The sequence below is a fragment of the Homo sapiens genome, chromosome 21, assembly GCF_000001405.40.
Source record: "Homo sapiens chromosome 21, GRCh38.p14 Primary Assembly".
NCBI classification, from domain to species: Eukaryota; Metazoa; Chordata; class Mammalia; order Primates; family Hominidae; genus Homo; species Homo sapiens.
In genome coordinates this window covers 26,517,034-26,537,684 of record NC_000021.9, presented here as the reverse complement: position 1 = coordinate 26,537,684, position 20,651 = coordinate 26,517,034, and the positions used below count along the sequence as shown (strand labels likewise).

The window sequence follows — 20,651 nt, the reverse complement described above, 5'->3', positions numbered from 1 at the left end:
ACATCAGGCTGGCTCCACCCTGCTGCAGTTGGAGGTTAAGCATTGCCCTCGATTTGCTTTGCCCAGTGAAAGGTGCAACACTTCTAGAGAGAAGTTCTCAGAGCTGGTTAATTATTTGGCGTGTGCTCTTCTCTGTAACAGTAAAGCCTCTGCCAGCCAGAATCACTGAGTACCAATAAAGAATGAAAGCTCCCTTTCTGCCTAGCCAAGGTGGACATAAAACTTGAGCAACAGGTAAACCTTGATTGGCCCAAGCACTGAGAGCTTTTTAGTATTGCAATAAAAGCCAGACTCTCCACCATCTACCTCCCTCCATCATCCCTTTATGTGTTCTGAGTTGTGAAGCAAAAAAAGGATTGTTACACGAAAGAACAGGATAGGTAAAGCAGACTTGTATCCCTTAAGGTCTGAGCTTTTACCTTATGCATGAGTTCACTGGAGTACAGTGGTTTAAGTCAAATCCATACCTGATTTCAGCACCACAGAGTCTCCGAGTCCCTGCATATGCCATGCTTTCTATCTAACCCCTTTCCTATATTTACTCCTATGCTCCTCAGTTAATTAACGTAGGCTCATCAATCACAACTCTCCTCCAACATCATAACCTAGGAAAACTCTGAACCCGCACACCAGATAAGATTCCTTACCTTATGCCCCTGCACTTAATGCTTTTCCATCACAGAACATACCAGTATTTACAATTGCACATTCTTGGCCCTTTTGTTTGACTGGAATTTCCATGAGTGCAGGATCTCTATCTGGGCCTGGCACACAGTAGGTGCTCAGTAAATGTTTATTGAATCAGTGAACAGGCAAATTTAGCATCCAGAAAGCTGAGAATAAGTCTAAAGAGTATAGAAATGATGTCGCTTGGTGGGGGAGAATGCAGAAGATCAAGGAACAGATGAAAACAGACCCGGTTAAAGGACTGTGATGCAGTGGTGCCCAGGTAACATCAAGAGGCATAGATATTTCCAATCCGGTGTCTCAGGGCTGCTAGTGTTATAAAAATAGTGAATAAAAATCAAAGGGAAAAAGTTATCATTTTCTTTCTACCTAAGTATTGAATTTTAAAAGCAAAGCTTCGGGTCCTTTATAATCACATTAGAATGACTCTTGTTATGCTTTCCTGAAACGAAACCCTCTGAAGAATGGAGGCAATGGTGTTTAAAATGTACTCAGGTAACTTTCTTAGACCTTCCAAAAAAAGTCTGAAGTTCCTGCCTTACCTGATTTTGAAATGTTATAATTTGACATCACCTCCCTTTGGTATACCATTTCTTAAATCACACAGACTATAAACATACCCATTTATTAAAAGCATAATAAAGCATCTCGTGGAAAAGCAGGGCTTAATGCCTGTGTAGCTTTCAACAGTAAGTTATGTCTACTCTCTTGATATGATTTTGCTCTGTGTCTCCACCAAATATCATGTCAAATTGTAATCCGCATGTGTCAGGGAAGGGGCCTGGTGGGAGATAATTGAATCATGGGGGTGGACTTTGCCCTTGCTTTTCTCATGATAGAGTTCTCATGAGATCCAGTTGTTTGCAAGTGCGTAGCAACTCCCCCATCACTCTCTCTCTCCTGCCGCCATGTGAAGACATGCTTGCTTCCCCTTCACCTTTCACCATGGTTGTAAGCGTCTCGAAGCCTCCCAGCCATGCTTCTTGTACAGCCTGCCGAACTGTGAGTCAATTAAACTTCTTTTCTTTATAAACTACCCAGTCTTAGGTTGTTCTGTATATCAACGTGAAAACAGACTAATACACCTCTTTCTCATGCTTCTCTGGCAACTTAGAGCATAAGTGGCAAAGGGAACATACAAACTCACTGAGTTTCACTGCATAAGTAAGTTACAAACATCTTCCCATGGAGGTGGCTCAGAATTCACTCCACTCTTGAGCCTGATAGAAAAACTGGAGTAGATCTTAGAGGATGGAGATCTGAGAGTGGCCACCGACTCACTGTGGCAGCACAGGTATGGAAAAGAGCTCTCAGAATGCAGAGATTGCATACGAAACAAGTAAAATTGGAGAGAGCCCCTAGTTTTTAGAGGGTGCTGTAATAATATCTGGTTTAGAATTCATTGACTTAACCCCATAGCTATTAGGCTAGGTATTAATAAAAATTTCACAAGCCTTCCTTGCTCTATTCAAACGAATAGAAGGAGCAAAACTTTATTAGTACTGTTGTTTATAATAGCAAAATTATTCTGAGCTGAGCCTCTTCCATTCATTCCTTCTTTTATAACTTTCCCTCTCCCCCTTTTTGCCCACATTCAACAATGAGCCCTCTTAAAGCGGCCTACTCGTTTATCCAGTGGAGACACTTCCTTTGTGCCAGGTTGTCTCTGTACCACCCTGCTCTAGCAGTTGTATCAAGAGATAAAGTTCCTCTTATTTAATTTTTTAAAATAATTTTAACTTTCATTTTAGATTCAGGGGTACATATGCAGGTTTGTTACATGGGTATATTGTATGATGCTGACGTTTGGGATACAATTGATCCTACCACCTGGGTGGTGAGCATAGTACCTAATAGTTAGTTTTTCAACATTTGCTCCCTTCCCCCAAACACCCCCACAGTAGTCCCCGGTGTATATTCTTGCCAAGAGATGAATTTCCAATGAACTGTGGGAAATAAAAATGAATGAATAAGTTAAGTAAATAAATAAATAATAAAATAAGAATTCCAGATAGAATACATTTGTATCATAGGTATTCTGTAAAATGGGAATAGTTATATTTACTTTGCAAACTCAAGGAGTAAAATTAATTACATAAGATCGTACATACAACTATTACAGTACCTGTCTATATCTGTCAATCCCAGCAGGAAACAAATAGCATACTCAGACAGGAAATTGAAGAGAGTTTAACAAATGCATCTTTTATAACAGTGCAGGCAGGATTAAGGAAGTCAAGAAAATATGGTGCAATATTCTGGGTTATTAACAACAGAGATCCCTTGCCATTTCTAAGCCTGAAAGGGAGGGAACAGTTACGAAAATGCAGAGACAGTAGGTATAGGAAGAGGATGTCCATGAGAGTCATGGCAGTCTATAGTGCAAGGTGGTTAAGTGGCAACGATACTGAGAGCGAGCCAAAGGATCAAAGGTTTTATTCTCCCTTTCCTCTCCATCTCCAGTCTCCTGTGCCAGGCTTTCATTGGGCAAATCCAAACAGAAGACAAAGGAGAAGTTGGTCTCTTGATATAGTCACCATGCATCAGCCTCCCTGATGACTGAGCAAGATGGAGCAAGGTAGAGAGTAGATCAGGAGGGGCAAGAAAAGATTCAGCACATTAACACATAATAGAGATGCAATAGAGAGGCCACTGCCTCTGAAGCTGAGTCTGGAGAAGTTGAGAAAGCAGTAATTCATTCATTAACTTACTCATTTAACAGTAATCCTTTGTTAAGCCCTTATTACGCAAATAAAATGCAAGTTTCTGAAGATATAACAAAATAAGACATCATTTCTGTCCTCAAAGTGTTGTAATTGAGAAACTGGACAGGTAAACAAACAAATGCAAATATATCATAGCAGTATTAGTGAAATATTGACAAATATTTTTGCGAGGCCATTATGAGATTCTGGTTGACAAATGGCTGAAACTGATTTGAATGAACTGCTAACATAGTACCAGAAATAATGGTGAGTGGCATGCTATGTGTGCTTGGTGCTCTGTTTCTGTGGCGCAGTTACACTGGAATCCTGAATTTTATGTCATTTGAATTAATCTTAGGTACACCTGTGTCCTCAATTCCTAACAAAAGCTTGTAGGTCTTCTGCCATGAAAGAATAAGTGACTTTGGTGGGTTTTTATGTAAATTTGTGTTTGCTAACATTCACTTTTATAATCTTTTCACTCTCAGACGAACAGCAAGCATTGCACAGAAAATACATACACACGCACACCAACAACAGCAGCAATAACAACAGCAATAGCAACAACCTAATTGTGATGGTGAATTTTATGTGTCAACTTGACTGGGCTAAGGGATACTCACATAGCTGGTAAACATTATTTCTGGGTGTGACTGTGAGGGTGTTTCTGGAAGAGATTAGCATTTGAATTCGTGGACTGGGGGAAGAAGATCACCCTCACCAATGTGAGTGGACATCCTCCAATCAACTGACAGCACAGCTAGAACAAAAAGGCAGAGGAGGGGTGAATTTGCCCTATCTGAGCTGGGACATTCATCTTCTTCTGCCCTTGGACTTCAGTGTTCTTTGTTCTCAGATCTTTGAGCTCCAGAACTTATACCACAGACCCCTGGTTCTCAGGCCTTCAGACTTAGACCGTATTAAGTCACCAGCTTTCCTGGTTCTGCAGCTTGCAAATGACATATTGTGAGCCCTCATAATTATCAGTCCTCATAATTCCGTAAGCCAATTCCTGTAATAGTAAATATATATAAATATTTATAAGTATTTATAAATATACTATGAATATAATATATATGTATAAATTAGTAAACAGTAAAAATATGTATTTACTATAGTAAATAGTAAATAATATTTACTACAATACATATTTCTTATAATAAATAAATATATTTACCATTATGGGAATTGGCTCATGAGATTCCGGGTTGAGTATCCCTTATCCAAAATGCATGGGACCAGAAGTATTTCAGACTTAAGAATTTTTTGGATTTTGGAATATTTGCATATACATAATAAGATACCTTGGGTATAGAACCCAAGTCTAAACACAAAATTTGTTTATGTTTTATACATACCTTATAAACATAACATAAAGATAATTTTATACGACATTTTTTAATAATTTTGTGCATGAAACAGTTTGTGTACATTGAACCATCAGAAAGCAAAGGTGTCACTATCTTAGCCACCCACATGGAAAATCTGTGGTTGTTTGGCATCACCATCATTTCTGACTCTGAATTTATGTGCCACCAATAAACAAGCATTTTCTTACACTTATTCGTACATAAGTACTTAGTTGAAAATATGGAAAACCATTAATACAGTGAAAAATTAACATGTTCAGAGTAGCTAAGCAGCACAGTAACAGAATACCTGTATCAGCTGCTAAACAACAGCAGGAACAAACAATGGCAGCCTTTCCATTTCCACCTACTATGCTGTGTTTTAATTAAAAGGTTTCTATACACTGTATTTTATTTTTTTAGGTGAGAAGAAATGTCAGAAGCAGTGGAGGGACCAGGAAACGGGTCCTCTAGGGATAAGAGCATTCTGCTGGATGGCTTTTTAAAATGTTTCCTCCAGCGTCATCTGCCTCCTTAACAATAGCTTTTGTCTTAGAAGCCTCTCACTGACTTTATAAACTGACATGATTTCCTGTCCTGTTACAAATGCATGCTGCTTTAGTCCTTCAATAAGCCCATCACACATTTTCACCATGTTGTCTATAGGCACCTTTTCTGCAGTGTTGACATCATCTTCATTGTTACTGTTTTCATGATCACCTTGATTCAGAACCATTTCAGCTATTTCATCATCAGTGAATGAACTAGAGCCTCATTATTGATATTAAAAATGTCTTTGATATTCACCTCTTCCAGCTTACTAATGAACTCTGAAGATATATTTTTTGCATATGTAAGGAAATCAGACATTCTTTTTTTCTCGCTTTACATAATCCTTCAAATTACAGAATCCTTCAAAGTCACCACCTTGTTCATCATCATCACTGAACTTAGTTGCAGGCCAGAGGTTGTGTCAGGCATGCACAACTGTGACTTTAATCACTATGTTTCAAGCATTGGCAACAGTATGTATGGCATTCTTCATGCTGAACTTTTTTCAAACCTTAAAGGTTTGAAAACTTTCCACATTCACACCTCTGTTCACTGCTGGCTAGCACGCTGTTCAAGAAAATGTTTTTATATTTACTCTTTATCGATCTAAGGATACCCTGGCCACATGACTGAGTTAATAAAGTCATTGTCATAGCCCGTTCTCACACTGCTATAAAGAACTACCTGAGACTGGGTAATTTATGAAGAAAAGAGGTTTCATTGACTCAAGAGTTCCACAGGCTGTACAGGAAGAGTTAGTTCCACAGCTGGGGAGGCCTCAGGAAACTTCCAGTCATAGTGGAAAGTGAAGGAGAAGCAAGCATGACTCCCCATGTTGGAGCAGGAGAGAGAAAATGAAGGGAAAAATGCTGCACTTTTAAACAACCAGATCTCGTGAAAACTCTATCATGATAACAGCAAGGAGGAAGTCCAGGGATTCAATCCCCTCCCACCAGGATTCTCCTTCAACACGTGGGGATTATAGTTTGACATGAGATTTGGGTGGGGACACAGAGCCAAACCATATAAGTCATATTTAGGGGAAAGTACATGACATAGACATTATTTTTATGGGAATTTCAGCCGCGGGATGAGAAGAACGGTTGTCAAGGAATAACACAATCTTGCAATAGTCATCCATCCAATCCAGCTTCCCTGTGGTGAGCATGAGCCACTGATGCAAAATGTTTGTGAAACCAATCCGACGAGGTGTCCCTGGTGATCCATGTCTTTTTATTAGCGTAATAATGGACTGGTTAAAAAAATTACTCCTTGAAAACAAGGAGGATGCAAGCTTTTGACTATTACAGCAAGTTTACACTTATGCGTGCCTGCTGCATTAGCACCTCTCAGCACAGTTATTCTCTCTTTGGCATTCTTAATTCCTGTAGGAGCTGTCTGATTGGCTGTAGTCAGTGTCTTTCTGGGCCACTAACACTAAAACAGTCACATTGCATCATCATTATAGACTTGTCCTAGTGTCACATTTTTATCAGTGATGACCTTGGCAAACTTGTCAATGAATTTCTCTGATAGACTGGATAAAGAAAATGTGGCACATATACACCATGGAATACTATGTGGCCACAAAAAAGGATGAGTTCATGTCCTTTGCAGGCACATGGATGAAGCTGGAAACCATCATTCTCAGCAAAATAACACAAGAACAGAAAACCAAACACTGCCTGTTCTCACTCATAAGTGGGAGTTGAACAATGAGAACACATGGGCACAGGGAGGGGAACATCACACACCGGGGCCTGTCGAGGGGTTGGGGGATAGGGGAGGGATAACATTAAGAGAAATACCTCATTTAGATGACAGGTTGATGGGTGCAGCAAACCACCATGGCACGTGTATACATATGTAACAAACCTGCACGTTCTGCACATGTATCCCAGAACTTAAAGTATAATTAAAAAAAATAAAATTAATATTATAAAATGCCCAATAAACTCACATTTTAAGGCTAAATTTAAAACAAAATCCTAACAATTAAAAGAAAAACTATAACTGGAGGCAACATTTGCAGAAAATGCTGCAGACAAAAATGATTTTTATAGTTATTTATATTATACTTACAACTTTCTCTTTAAGTTTAGGATTACTTCAAAATTAAAAAGTATATATTTATGAATAAAAAATAATTTTATTATGGGCAAAACAATCATTCAGGCTGCTGGAGCAGATTGAATTCTGTAAGTAGTTTCTCAACTCAGTTGGCTTTCAGAACATACAAATACAAGCAAAATTGTCTGGCAAAACTAAGCTTCACAGTAATATCCAAAGTCATACAGCTTAGGTTTGCCCTAGTCTCTGATAGAAGAATGGTTTATTTATTTACTATAGTTGTAGAGTTGTTTACCAACACTTATGTATGTCAACATATGTCAGTATTTCCGTTGATATATATTAATGTTTCAACACATTTCATCATTGTCACTAGAAAAGATGGGATGGGTAGCCATAACATAAAGTTTTCAAGAAAGGAGCCTTTGAGGATAAACTATTCAATGTTACCAAAGGTCTAAGGGCTAACTCTGTAACCTCTGTGAATACACAGCTCTGCCCCTCCATCATTCCAGCAAACAGCTAAGTGCTTAATAAGATAAAATCCAATAGCATTGAACCACAGTGACCTGTGTCAAAAATAGCACTATGTACAGCTGATAATTTTTAATTAAATGAAATAGAGACTGATGATATCATTCTTGGCTGTTGCAAACCGCACTCCCCTATGTTTTCAGGATCTGCATTTATATGCACTATGCTACTGGTTCAGCTAGCCTGCAAGTCTGCAAGAGGGCACCTATTCCCAAACCATGCTAATGAGTGCTGCTGGATCCAGCAAAAGCACACTTGGTACAGATTTAATCCATTTTAGGCAAAGCTAAGAGTTATCATTTGTAGTTGAAATTTATATAAAATTGTGGTTACCTGTTTTCTTCATGAATTACTTTATAAATGCATTGCATGGCATTTGTTGAATGAGTGAGTGCTTCCAATGTATATTAATATGTGACTCTGTTTATAAAAGGTAATTTATAGCCAGTTTATCAGAAATGCAATTATTTCATAAAACTCTGTATATCATTCTAAAAAAGATGCAAAAGAAACATATGTAAGATTATCTAATGTGATAAACATAGAATGGACTTTGAGCTAGACATGCTTCTATTCAAATTGCCACCTCTAAATGCCACTTACTGAGTGACCTTAGGCAAGTTACTAACCTCCTCTGACCCTCACTTTCATTATATGTTAGGAAACAGTGGTAATACACATCTACTGAATGGTTGTGACTAATAAGTACTATATATAAAGTATCAGTGTAAGAGTCATCACAAGGAAAAACTGAGTAATTATTTTAATCTCACCTGTGGCCCTTTGTTTGCTTCTAATAATGGACTGTGTTTGCATGAAACATACTAAACCAACAAAATTTTGTAGTGTTAGCCCACCTGTTCCAGAGAAATCTCTGTTGAAAAGGCTTATAAGAGATCTTTTTGAATGTTCCTCCATCTCTTACATGTTTTCTTCTCTGATGGCCACATATAATCAGTACTTAAGCTCCCGTAACTGTAGGTCAAATTGATTTCTGATCAAGAAGTTGCTCCTCTTTAAATATATAAATAATTGTACCATCCAATAGATTGAACTGAGTCTTAGACTTTCCCTTTTCCCCTCATTTTAAGTGCTTTACAAAGTTGCTGTGTTAGTTCATTCCTTCATTTCTGTAAAGACTTGAGGAAGGGTAATTTATGAAGGAAAGAAATTTATTTTGGCTCATGGTTCTACAGGCTGTACAGGAAGCATAGCACTGGCACCCGGTTCTGACGAGGGCCTCAGGAAGCTTCCACTCATGGCAAAAGGCAATTGAGGAGCAGGCACATCATATGGTGAGAGAAGGGGCAAAAGAGGGAGAGCAGGAAGGAGCCAGTCTCCTTTAAACAACCAGCTCTTGCTTGAACTACCAGAGCAAGAACTCCCTCCTTACCATGAGAGTGGCACCAAGCCATTCCTGAGGGACCTGCTCCATGACCTAAACACCTCTCACTAGGCCCACCTCCAACACTAAGGATCACATTTCAACACGAGATTTGGAGGGGACACATATCCAAATCATATCAGTTGCATTAACAAATTTCTGGAAAATAGTATTTAATAGGAATTTCTAAAAGAAATCAAAGCTTTAAAAGGTAAACCTTTTGAACTAAAAAAAGATATTTAGCTATTAACAAAAATGATGTTATTTTTTGGAATACAATGAATATTTTTATTTCTATTCTGTCAAAATTGTTTTTCTGTAGTGATATTTGCTTCTTTTTGATTGACTGTGGACTAAGATTTCTACCAGGATGTCTCTGGATTTTTACTCGTTTTAAGTGTTGCTGAATTTTTTTCCTTTACTCTTTATTTATAGAATTTCTGTAGTTTATTTTTGAAATTTCTATATGACACTTTTATGAAACAGTTCATTCCTTTGTCATTTTTAAAAAGGTAATGATGGCTTAGCCTTCATTATCCCTGACTTCGCAGAATATTATATTTCTAGAAAATCAACAGGTGCACACACCCTCAAATCACTGGACTATTATTTGAACAAAATATTCTCCCGGGACCTATAAAAGATTCTGATACCTCAAACCTGAATTTAGCTTTGAATTTGGCAGCAGTACTCTTTATACAATAGCAGTGTTCTGGAGGAGCTGAGCTTTCTTTATATATGATTCATCTGGCCATATTCAGGCAAAATAAAAGAAATGTACAAAAGTAGCAATGAAATGGAGTATATTCATGCCAACATAAGCCATTTTTACTGGATGATAAAAACACATATTTTCAATAATAATTGTCCATATAATGAAAAATTTCTAAATTCAGGAAAAATATAAAAAGCTGCCTATTCTGCATTTTTTTTGTTGGCTTTCTAACCTTTGAGGTTTGTACAGCACTCAATAAGTAAAATTAAAAGTGATTTGACTTTATTTGGTTATGTAAATTGGGTTATATTTTACAGAATTAAAAGGTATCAATTTTACCCAACTTCATGCCTTTAAAAAAGAGGCCATAATACTTGAGAAATTATGCCTGGTTAATTCCAAATTCCAAACCCTAGTTTATTGATGAGACTACTTATTTTGGTAATATGTTGGCCTGGGGAGAAAGCAAGAGGGAAACTGGCAGTGTTTCTGGCCTTTACTGTAGCTCTAATTTGTTCCAAATGTCCAAATGCCTTTATATGTGTTTCTCGTGCAGAATAGAGTTACGTGGGATAGCCCAGCATCCCCTGACTTCTGATCACTCATGTTGTGAACACACTTGCATATTGGGAAGAAAAAAAGGCCCAGATCCTTTTCACCTTTGGGGTCAACTTTATTTTCTAATTCATTATAAGTGCTTAACATAGCTTGTGCCTGCTCTGAGTCAGGTGTTGACAATTAACAAGACCATAGTGTTTGGAGGACACATCATGTGCTCCCAAGTAGGGTTCTCAAATGTTTAAATGCTTGCACCTTCCTTATTTCCTTTGACACCTAAAACCCTGAAGTAACAGCAGAAATTATTATACAACTTAAAAAAGCTTTTACCCAAAAGTTAAAGAGGTAAAGAGGCTTACACAGTGTTCACAAAGTCACTTAGCTAATACCTGGTTGACCTAAGATTGGAATTTGGATTTTCTGAATATTATAGCAGGATACCAAGGTGGAAGAAAGATGTGTTCCTGAAATCCTTATTCGGCATTAGAATTCATTCATTATTTCTTTTGAAACCGTTAATTATTTTAAATACTTTTGAAATTATCATATTTATAAAATAATTCAAATGGTTGTCATAATCTTAACATGGAATAGCTTCTATTTTACAAGTAAGAGGTTTAAAATGGAACTTTTGTAAAATGGTTAATTTTTTTTAACTTTTTTGTTGTTGTTGTTGGGGGGTGGGGCCAGAATTTTGCTCTGTCGCCCAGGCTGGAGTACAGTGGCACAATCTCAGCTCACTGCAAACTCCACCTCCCAGTTTCAAGCGAATCTCCTGCCTCAGCCTCCCGAGTAGCTGGGATTATAGGCTCCCATCACCACGCCCAGCTATTTTTTGTATTTTTAGTAGAGACGGGATTTCACCATGTTGGCCAGGCTGGTTTCGAACTCCTGACCTTAAGTGGTCCACCCACCTTTGCCTCCCAAAGTGCTAGGATTACAGGCATGAGACACCACTCCAGCTTAACTTTTAAGCTCAGGGGTACATGTTTAGGTTTGTTACATAAGTAAACTTGTGTCGTGGGGGTTTGTTGTACAGATTATTTCCTCATCCATGTATTGAGCCTAGTACCCATTAGTTATTTTTCCTGATCTCTCCCACACCCTCCACCCTCCAAAAGGCCCCCAGTGTCCATTGTTCCTGTCTGTGTCCATGTGTTCTCATCATTTAGCTTCCATTTATAACTGAGAACATGCGGTATTTGGTTTATTGTTCCTTGCTACTTTGCTAAGGATAATAGCTTCTGGTTCCATCCATGTCAGTAAATTAGGAACTGCCTGTAACTATCTTTCAGCAAGCTAAAAAATAATAAGTAGCAATAATTCTTCATTCAATGGGAACCATCCATAATGTTAACACAGTAAAATGATTCACATGTAGGCAATGACTATAGGGATTTGGGGGGTCAGATAGCCCAGCACACCTTTATTTAATAAGTGGATCCTTTCAGAAAACAGATAAACTTCCATTTAACATAGTGCCATAAATTTACTTATTAAATATCCTGAACACACGTTAAGAATAACATCCTTTAGTTATAAAGTTACAGGGATCAAAAATGAGATAAATATCTTCATGGGCCAAAAATAGGAATAGAAATCTAAAGGTGATAGTGCTGAAGCCTCTGGGGAAGGAAGGCGGCAGGGGCAGCAGGAACTAAATTCCAAAGTCCTCAGCTCAAGGCGGGAGGCCCTCATGGTTGAGGGCTGGAACCACGCTCACTGCTTGGACCTTTGAGCTATTATGGGGCTGAGGTCAGCTCACCCATGTATCCAAGAGGATGAAATGACTGCAATAAAATAATACAATGGAGCCATTGAAAATTAGTTCAAAATAATATTTTTTAATATTCTTAAAGACATAAAGGTAGAAACTCATTGAAAAAAATTTGAAAGAGCAATGAAGAAAAATAGGCAGAAATGAAAAAAAGTGTAGGATAAAAGGGAAGAGAAGAAAGAGGAGGAGGAAAAGGAAGTAGAAAGACTGAAAGTAAAAATAATGTGGCACTGAAATCTTTTTAATTGCATAGAATTAGATCTGTAGAGAGATTTAATGAATTGGAAGATGGTACTGAGGATTTCATGTAGGGCATCAGAAAGGGGATGACGGAGGGAATGTTCTACAACTCCCATTCCAGTAATCAATTTATTGCCTCTTAGCTCCAAATTCACCCTTCAATACATGCTCTGTGAGAACAGATGGATTCCTTTCAGCATTTCTCTTATAAAGTGAGCATGACATTGACATTTCTCAGTCAAGGGCACTGGAAATAAGGCTGTAGAGGGGAATATTACAAACATCGTCTTTACCTGTAGTCATTTATTTTCTTAAAAAAACAAAATATGTGGAGCAAAGTGACAAAATGCTCATGGCAGTTTATTCTTGATAATGGGTACATGGTTATTTGCTAAGTGATCTTTTATATGTGTACACAAAAATGTTAAATTAACAAAATTTTTTAAAAAGTCAATTACACAGAGAGAGAAGGGCAAGACATTACTAAGTGGTTGGCTTCCAGGTTGATGACCAAGCATGTTCAGCTTCCAGCCATCTGAATCCAACAAAACTGCCTAAAGCAAGGCTAAGCCTTTATTTCTCTACCACAAGGTAATTTGTTTTTAAATGTCTTGTACAGTTTGTTGCTGAGGAAAGAGAATTAGGATTTCAGACATACAGGCCAAATATATTTTCCTGCTTTCCACAACATCAACTTTGATTGGAGCGGCCAAAACATTCAATGTAAGCAATTTAATCCAACAATGTTTGAAATTGTTGGATTAAATTCAAGAGTAGCAAATTTGGTTAGCCTAGTTGATTTAAGATGAGAGTAAGCACTTTTTAATGATATAGGATTGCATTTAATGTCAGAGCAAACATATATTTTGAGAAATAAAATAGTTAAGGAATAAGAAGTACAAATATCTAAATACATATACCTACATGGTTCGAGCTCTAATACCAACATGCAAAACAACCCCCGGCATATGAAATGTTTAAATGTAGCAAGTATAGGCCACCCTTAACCTACAAATGAAATATATACACATATGAATATATTTGTCTTAATGGTAAACCTGGACCTTAGAACATATTTTTCTGATGGAAATTATGTAATCTCTGGTGGCCAGGATGCTAACTGTCTCACAAAAGCTCATTCATTGAGCCACAAATTTATCAAAACTCTGAATTTTTACTTTGTTCTTATGGGGAAATAGTCCCAGTTCCAGTTGGTGGAATTGGGCCACATGCCCATCTACTCTAATCTTCCCTACTTTTGATCATTACTCCAGAGGGGAGTAACGCCTATTGTCTGTGGCTCAGAAAATGTACTGAAGGCAAGATGGTGTGATGAGTTTGGGCAGCCTACATTAGGTTGAGTGGTCACAAAGGCTTCTCTGAGAAGGTGACATTTGATCTAGAGCCTGAAAAGGTCCCAGAAATGAAGGAGAAGAGTATTTCTAGCCAAAGATTTAGGACAGGAAAGAATTTGAGGTGGTCCAATAACAGGAAGAACACTGGAGTGGCTGGAGCATCATAACTGAGTGAATGAGTGGTAGAAAATGAGATAGTAGGCAGAAAGAAGTTGACATAGGTCAGATGACACAGAGTCCGGCAGACCGCAATGCAGAGGTTGGATGTGACTCCTAAGCATAGCAGAAAGCCATGGGAGTTTTAAATAAGGGAATGGAATGATCTGATTGGTATTTTATTTTAAAAGGCCACTTGCTGCCATGTGGTGAACAGATTGTGAGGGGTAAGAAAAGAAGCAGAGACACAACTTTGGAATTATCTCAGGGGAGCAAGAGAGAGAGAAAGGGGGCATTTCCTCAGATAACAGCACAGGCATAAAGACAAATGAGTAGATTCAGAATATGTTTTAGAGGTAGCATCAATAGTAATTGCTGACAGATTAGAAGGACAAAGTTAGACAAAGAAAAGTAGGATAACTTCTAGAAAAGAGGCCAGAACTATATTATGTTATTAATTCAAAAAATTGCCTTTTTTTGGCAGCTTCCTATTATACTTTCAATCTGTCCTCATCTCGTTCACCACAGTTAAACTTCGAAAATAATTCAGATTATATCTTTCCTCTATCTTACCATTTTCAATATTTCCTCATCACCTAACATGCACAAGATCCTTTGCCTCCTGACGAAGTCCAGACTTCCCTTCAGCCAAGCCTTCCTCAGAGCCTGGGCTCCCACCAAGCTGAACATTCACGCTTTCATGCCTATTGTTTGTTGTGCTCAGAACACTCTTGATTTCTTCCTGTGTCTGGAAAAACGTATTCACCTTTCCAGTCTTAATAACTTCTGGCAGAATTCAATTATCCCGAGAACAAAACTGCCCTTGAATTCATTTCCTTCGTTGGGTTTTTTCACTGTATATGATCATCAGCTGTGTCTCCATCTCTCCTGATAGACTGTAGATTTTCAAGGGCAGGAACGTGGTGTTTTATCTTTGTGGCATCATCATATCCTCCAGTGTAGAGTGAGTGCTCATAAATGTGGTTGAAATAAATTAAGGTTTATCCTACTATGGAACATTATAATTGGTAAAATAAAATATTTTCTCTGGAAATGTAAGATGTGAAAGCAAAAAGTCCATTTTAATCAAAACAGAACTAAATTTTGCAAGCAAACTGTCTATAATTTGGGAGAGCATTCTCCCTAAATATAAATAACCCTTAAAAATACCATCTTTGCATATTTCTATGTCAGTGTTGTTTTAAAGTTTTTTTAAAAAATTTTTGAGGGGAAGTGCCATTACAGATGCCTTTGAAGTTCTGATAAAAGCTACTGGATCATATAACAGATTCACAACTTTGCGAATAATTTTAGGGACTTTCAAGTCCACTTAAACCCATTTATGGAGTAGATCAAGACTAGGTCAAGGTACCTTCTGTAAACTTCTAAAAAATATATGGTAAATCTTCTCTACAGTGGGAATATTGTCCATATTGCCAATTTTCATTAACCTCCTAGTGGAAGTGTCTGATACTGTGGTTGGTTGAAATGTGCTTAAAAATAAAGGTGAAATCTTTGTTCAAGAAGGCACGTAGTTTTGACAGAATACCACATGGAACAACACAACATCAATGTAAAACTGTTGGTGACTTTTCACTTCAGATAGAATTCATTTGTAAGGTGATGACAGAGTCAACTTTTCAATCCATACCACCACAGGTCCTTTCTTGAAGGACAGAACAGCTACAAAGGAGACAGTACGGCTCCAAAACAAAGAGAAAAACATTGAAAATACTACCTTTGACTGATAAAGAAGTGCACTGAATTTTCTTTATAAAACATCAGCAAATATTTTATCTGTCTTTTCATATTTTCTTCTTTGATATATAATTGTCCTGCCTCTATCTAGAGGCCCTGTCATGAGTAACCTATGGGTGGGTGGACTGGAATATACAGCATGTATCCATGACCCAAATGAAACAATGTTTTGCTCACCATTCTCTTTGGAATGAGATATACTCAAGAGTTCAATAGAGGTAGCAGTGCATCATGAATTCTTTCCTTAGTCAAGATCAGTACAAGATAAAGTAGGTCATTATTTGCTATTGCTGATTGATGTTAATTTGAATGTTCCTTTTGGATAAATTAGTCCTGATGTTTCTTATGGGAATTTGTTATTGAATTTGATGTCCATTCAGCATACCACCTATTTACAAAATGTAAGAACTAAGAAAATACCTGAGCATATCTCTAGGTGAAAATTGATTGGCAGTGCTATTTGATTTAACCAGATGTCTTTCGTATACATGTAAAGCAATATCAGTCTGGGCTGGTTAGCATGATGGGTTATTTGATGGGGAAACCAAGGATGCTGATTTAATCTCTTAAAACTGTTTCACCTGGATTAGTGCCTCTTAATTCATCTCCCTACTTTATTCTCTTTTAAAAGTTTTTAATTTTATTTTATTTTAAGTTCCAAGATACATGTGCAGGATGTGCAGGTTTGTTACATAGATAAACAGGTAAACATGTACCATGGTGGTTTGCTGAACCTATCAACCCATCACCTAGGTAGTAAGCCCCGCATGCATTAGCTATTTATCGTGATGCTCTCCCTCCCTCCGCACCCCCTGACGGGACCCAGTATGTGTTGTTCCCCTCCTTGTGTTCATGTGTTCTCATTGTTCAGGTCCCACTTACAAGTGAGAACGCGCAGTGTTTGGTTTTCTGTTCCTGCATCAGTTTGCTGAGGATAATGGCTTCCAGGTCGATCCATGTCCCTGCAAAAGACATGATCTCATATGTTTGTTGGTTGCATAAAGCTCAACATCACTGATCATCAGAGAAACAGAAATCAAAACCACAAGGAGATACCATCTCATGCCAGTCAGAATGGCGATTATTAAAAAATCAGGAAACAATAGATGCTGGCAAGGCTGTGGAGAAATAGGAAAGCTTTTACACTGTTGGTGGGAATGTAAATTCGTTCAACCATTGTGGAAGATAGTATGGTGATTCCTCAAGGATCTAGAACCAGAAATACCATTTCACCCAGCAATCCCATTACTGGGTATATACCCAAAGGAACATAAATCATTCTACTATAAAGACACATGCACACATATGTTTACTGAAGCACTATTTACAATAGCAAAGACATGGAACCAACCCAAATGCCCATCAACGATAGGCTGGATAAAGAAAATGTGGTACATATACACCATGGAATACTATGCAGCCATAAAAAGGAATGAGATCATGTCCTTTGCAGGGACATGGATGAAGCTGGAAGCCATCATCATCAGGAAACTAACACAGGAACAGAAAACCAAACAACACATGTTCTCATTTATAAGTAGGAGTTGAACATTGAAAACTCATGGACACAGAGAGGGGAACAACACATACCAGGGCCTGTTGGGGGGTAGGGGTTGAGGGGAGGGAACTTAGAGGATGGGTCAATAGGTGCAGCAAACCACCATGGCACACGGATACCTGTGTAATAAACCTGCACTTTCTGCATATATATATATATATATATATATATATCTCCTGGGTTTTTTTTTAGAAGAAGAAATAAAGAAAAAGAAGGCATGATTTCATTCCTTTTTATGGCTTCATAGTATTCCATGGTGTATATATACCACATTTTCTTTTTCCAATCCGTCATTGATGGACATTTGGGTTGATTCCATGTCTTTGCTATTGTGAATAGTGCTGCAATGAACATACAAGAGCATGTATCTTTATAACAGAATGATTTATATTACTTTGGGTATATACCTAGTAATGGGATTGCTGGGTGAAATGATCCTTGGTTCTAGATCCTTGAGGAATCACCATGCTATCTTCCACAATGGTTGAACTAATTTACATCCCCACCAACAGTGTAAAAGCATTCTTATTTCTCTACAGCCTCACCAGCATCTGTTGTTTCTTTTTAATATCTCTACTTTATTCTCAATTTAGATAGTCTGTTCTCAGCCCAGCAACCAGGGTTATTTCTTTCAAAAACCTGAGATAGGATTATGCCACTGCTCTGCTCAAAACGCTTCAGTACTTTCCCTTTTTCACACAGAGTAAGAGCCAAAGTCTTAAATGGCCTACAAGTTACTCCACGACCTGGCCCCTTAACCTCTGACCTCATGTCCTGCCATTTTTCCCATATGCACTTTCCTTCAGCCACATTGACTTCACTGCTTGAGTATGTCAGATTCCCTTCAGGTCCCTCTCCTAGCTGTGCCATCTGTCTGGTATGCTGTTACCCAGATGTCTCTTTGGCCAACTCCTTCACCACTTTCAAGTCTTTGTTTCCCAGTTCTTCTACATCCCTTCCCCTGATCCTGGCTGACTCATTCTTTTATACTTTGTACAATTTTATAGCTTCTGACAATATTTATACTTATTTATTATGTGCATTGCCTGTTCCCCCGCCCCTCCAGGATGTAATCTCTTGTAGGACAGTTATCTTACTTAATGATATATTCCAAACATCTGAAATAGTATTTGGCACATAGTAAGCTCTCAATAAATATTTGTTGAATCAAATGAATGAATAGATTGGCTATACAGCCTAAGATTTTCTTATTAATTCATTCTAGGGATACAAAAATGTATAAGACTTGGAACTATCTTCCAAAAACCACCTCTAACCTTAGGAACTATATTAAATTGTTTGCAGTGGATCACAAACAGGCCTGAGTGAAGGAGCAAGGATGGTTTACCCAAAGCTATTCTACTTCAGGAAAAAAGTTGTACGGATTCCAGTGATACTCCAAAAATGTAAATTACTGCCTAATTTCAGAACTCATTGTGATACCCTGATCCTGAGCCCCATCCTTTTCTTGAGGTAGTCAATTGTTAAAGAACTGGGATCAAAATTTATTGAAGCATTTGTTAAGTGTCAGAAGGCTGAGTTTTAGGATGATATTGGTCAGGCAGCATCATAAATGATGGAGCTGCCATCAATAAAAGTAGCATGATTTCTGCATTTCACAAATGAGGAGATTAAAGCAGCAGTGTCTTAGTCTGTCTGCTGCAGCTATGACAGAATACAACAGACTGGGTAATTTATAAAGAAAAGAGGTTTATTTGGCTCATGATTCTGGAAGCTGGGAAGTCCAAGAGCATGGTGTCAACATCTGGCAAGGGTCATCCCAAGGCAGAAGGCAGGAGGCAGAAGTGAGCACAGGAGACAGAGAGAGAAATCGGGTCAAACTCATCCTTTTATCAAGAGCTCACCACTGCAATAACTAATCCACACCTGGGATAATAACTTTAATTCATTTATCAGGGCAGGACATTCATGACCTCCTCATCTCTTAAAGCCCCAACCTCCCAATACCATTACATTGCCAATTAAATTTCAACATGAGTTGTGGAACAGACGTTCAAACCAGAACACAGGGCAAAAAAGATGTTAGTGTCTCAGACAACCAATGTCAGTGGTCTAAGTTTGGAATTTCTGGTGGTCACATTCACATAGCGGCTGATTTCTACTTTCATAACCAAGACACTGTCTCTGCATTGCCTTCCCAAATCCTCAGGGAGTGATCACACCCAAGTTTGAAATCACTCCTTTCTTAACAATCCAACCTGTTCAACATGGCTGTGTTCAGTCAATCAGTGTGAGTGCTGAGAAACAAAGGTTCGTTGTTATTGTGGGCCAAGACCTCAGGGTCAGGTGAGAGGAATACTGATAAGCCTTCAAGTCACAGACAAGTGCTGAGGTCCCCCAAGAAATACCTGTATGTTCTTGTGTGGAAATCTTCTGGCATCTCTTACAGGTTTAATAAAGAATTGTCTGGGGCTGGGCACGGTGACTCACGTCTGTAATCCTAGCACTTTGGGAAGCCGAGGTGGGAGGATAGCCTGAACTCATGAGTTCGAGACCAGGCTGGGCAGCATGGTGAAACCCTGTCTCTACTAAAAATACAAAAATTAGCCAGGCATAGTGGTGTGTGCCTGTAATCCCAGCTACTCGGGAGGCTGAGGCAGGAAAATCACTTGAATCCGGGAGATGGAGGTTGCAGTGAGCCAAGACCATGCCACTGCACTCCAGCCTGGACAACAAAGCAAGACTCTGTCTCCAAAAAAGAACTGTCTGGGCTCTCTTGAATTTTGGAATTCTCCTCCCCATTCCAGGAAGTTTTAATATACCCCATTCCCCATCTGAGTCTTCTTTTAGATAGAAGAAAAAGGAGGAATTATTTTTTTCAAACTAAATATAGCTAGATAGACAAATAAGTTTTTCTGCTACATTTTTCTTTCAGTTGCAAGCCACTTCTCAGAAATAATTAGATTTATCTGACAAGATACTTGAAAGATTAGAAGTAATACCATATTAAAACTGTCTAATAATATGAAGTAAACAATGGATTGCAGAAGGACAGGCTTGACTAATCCTACTATAGAGCTGCCCTATTTCTTTCACAATAACTCATTTTATTGATAGGTACCTTATTTTTAACCTTGATTATAGTCAAAATTATAATTTGATAGATTATCCCAGTGAATTCTTTTTTTTTTTTTTTTTTTTTTTTTTTTTTGAGACGGAGTCTCGCTCTGTCGCCCAGGCTGGAGTGCAGTGGCGCGATCTCGGCTCACTGCAAGCTCCGCCTCCCGGGTTC

The 20,651-nt window shown here is 38.2% G+C and overlaps 1 protein-coding gene and 1 long non-coding RNA gene across 7 annotated transcripts in view; one reads left to right on the top strand and one right to left on the bottom strand.

Moving 5' to 3' along the window:
* CYYR1-AS1 (CYYR1 antisense RNA 1) overlaps window positions 1-20,651 on the bottom strand; it is a 175,618-nt gene that overhangs the window by 31,568 nt on the left and 123,399 nt on the right. The window contains exon 4 of one of the 2 annotated variants that reach the window (NR_135516.1): window positions 19,092-19,163. The exons of the other annotated variant lie outside the window; for it this stretch is intronic. This is a non-coding gene — a long non-coding RNA (CYYR1 antisense RNA 1). Of the gene's footprint in view, window positions 1-19,091; window positions 19,164-20,651 lie in introns of those variants that run through there. 2 annotated transcript variants of the gene reach the window in all.
* CYYR1 (cysteine and tyrosine rich 1) overlaps window positions 1-20,651 on the top strand; it is a 107,071-nt gene that overhangs the window by 35,602 nt on the left and 50,818 nt on the right. The window lies entirely within an intron of this gene.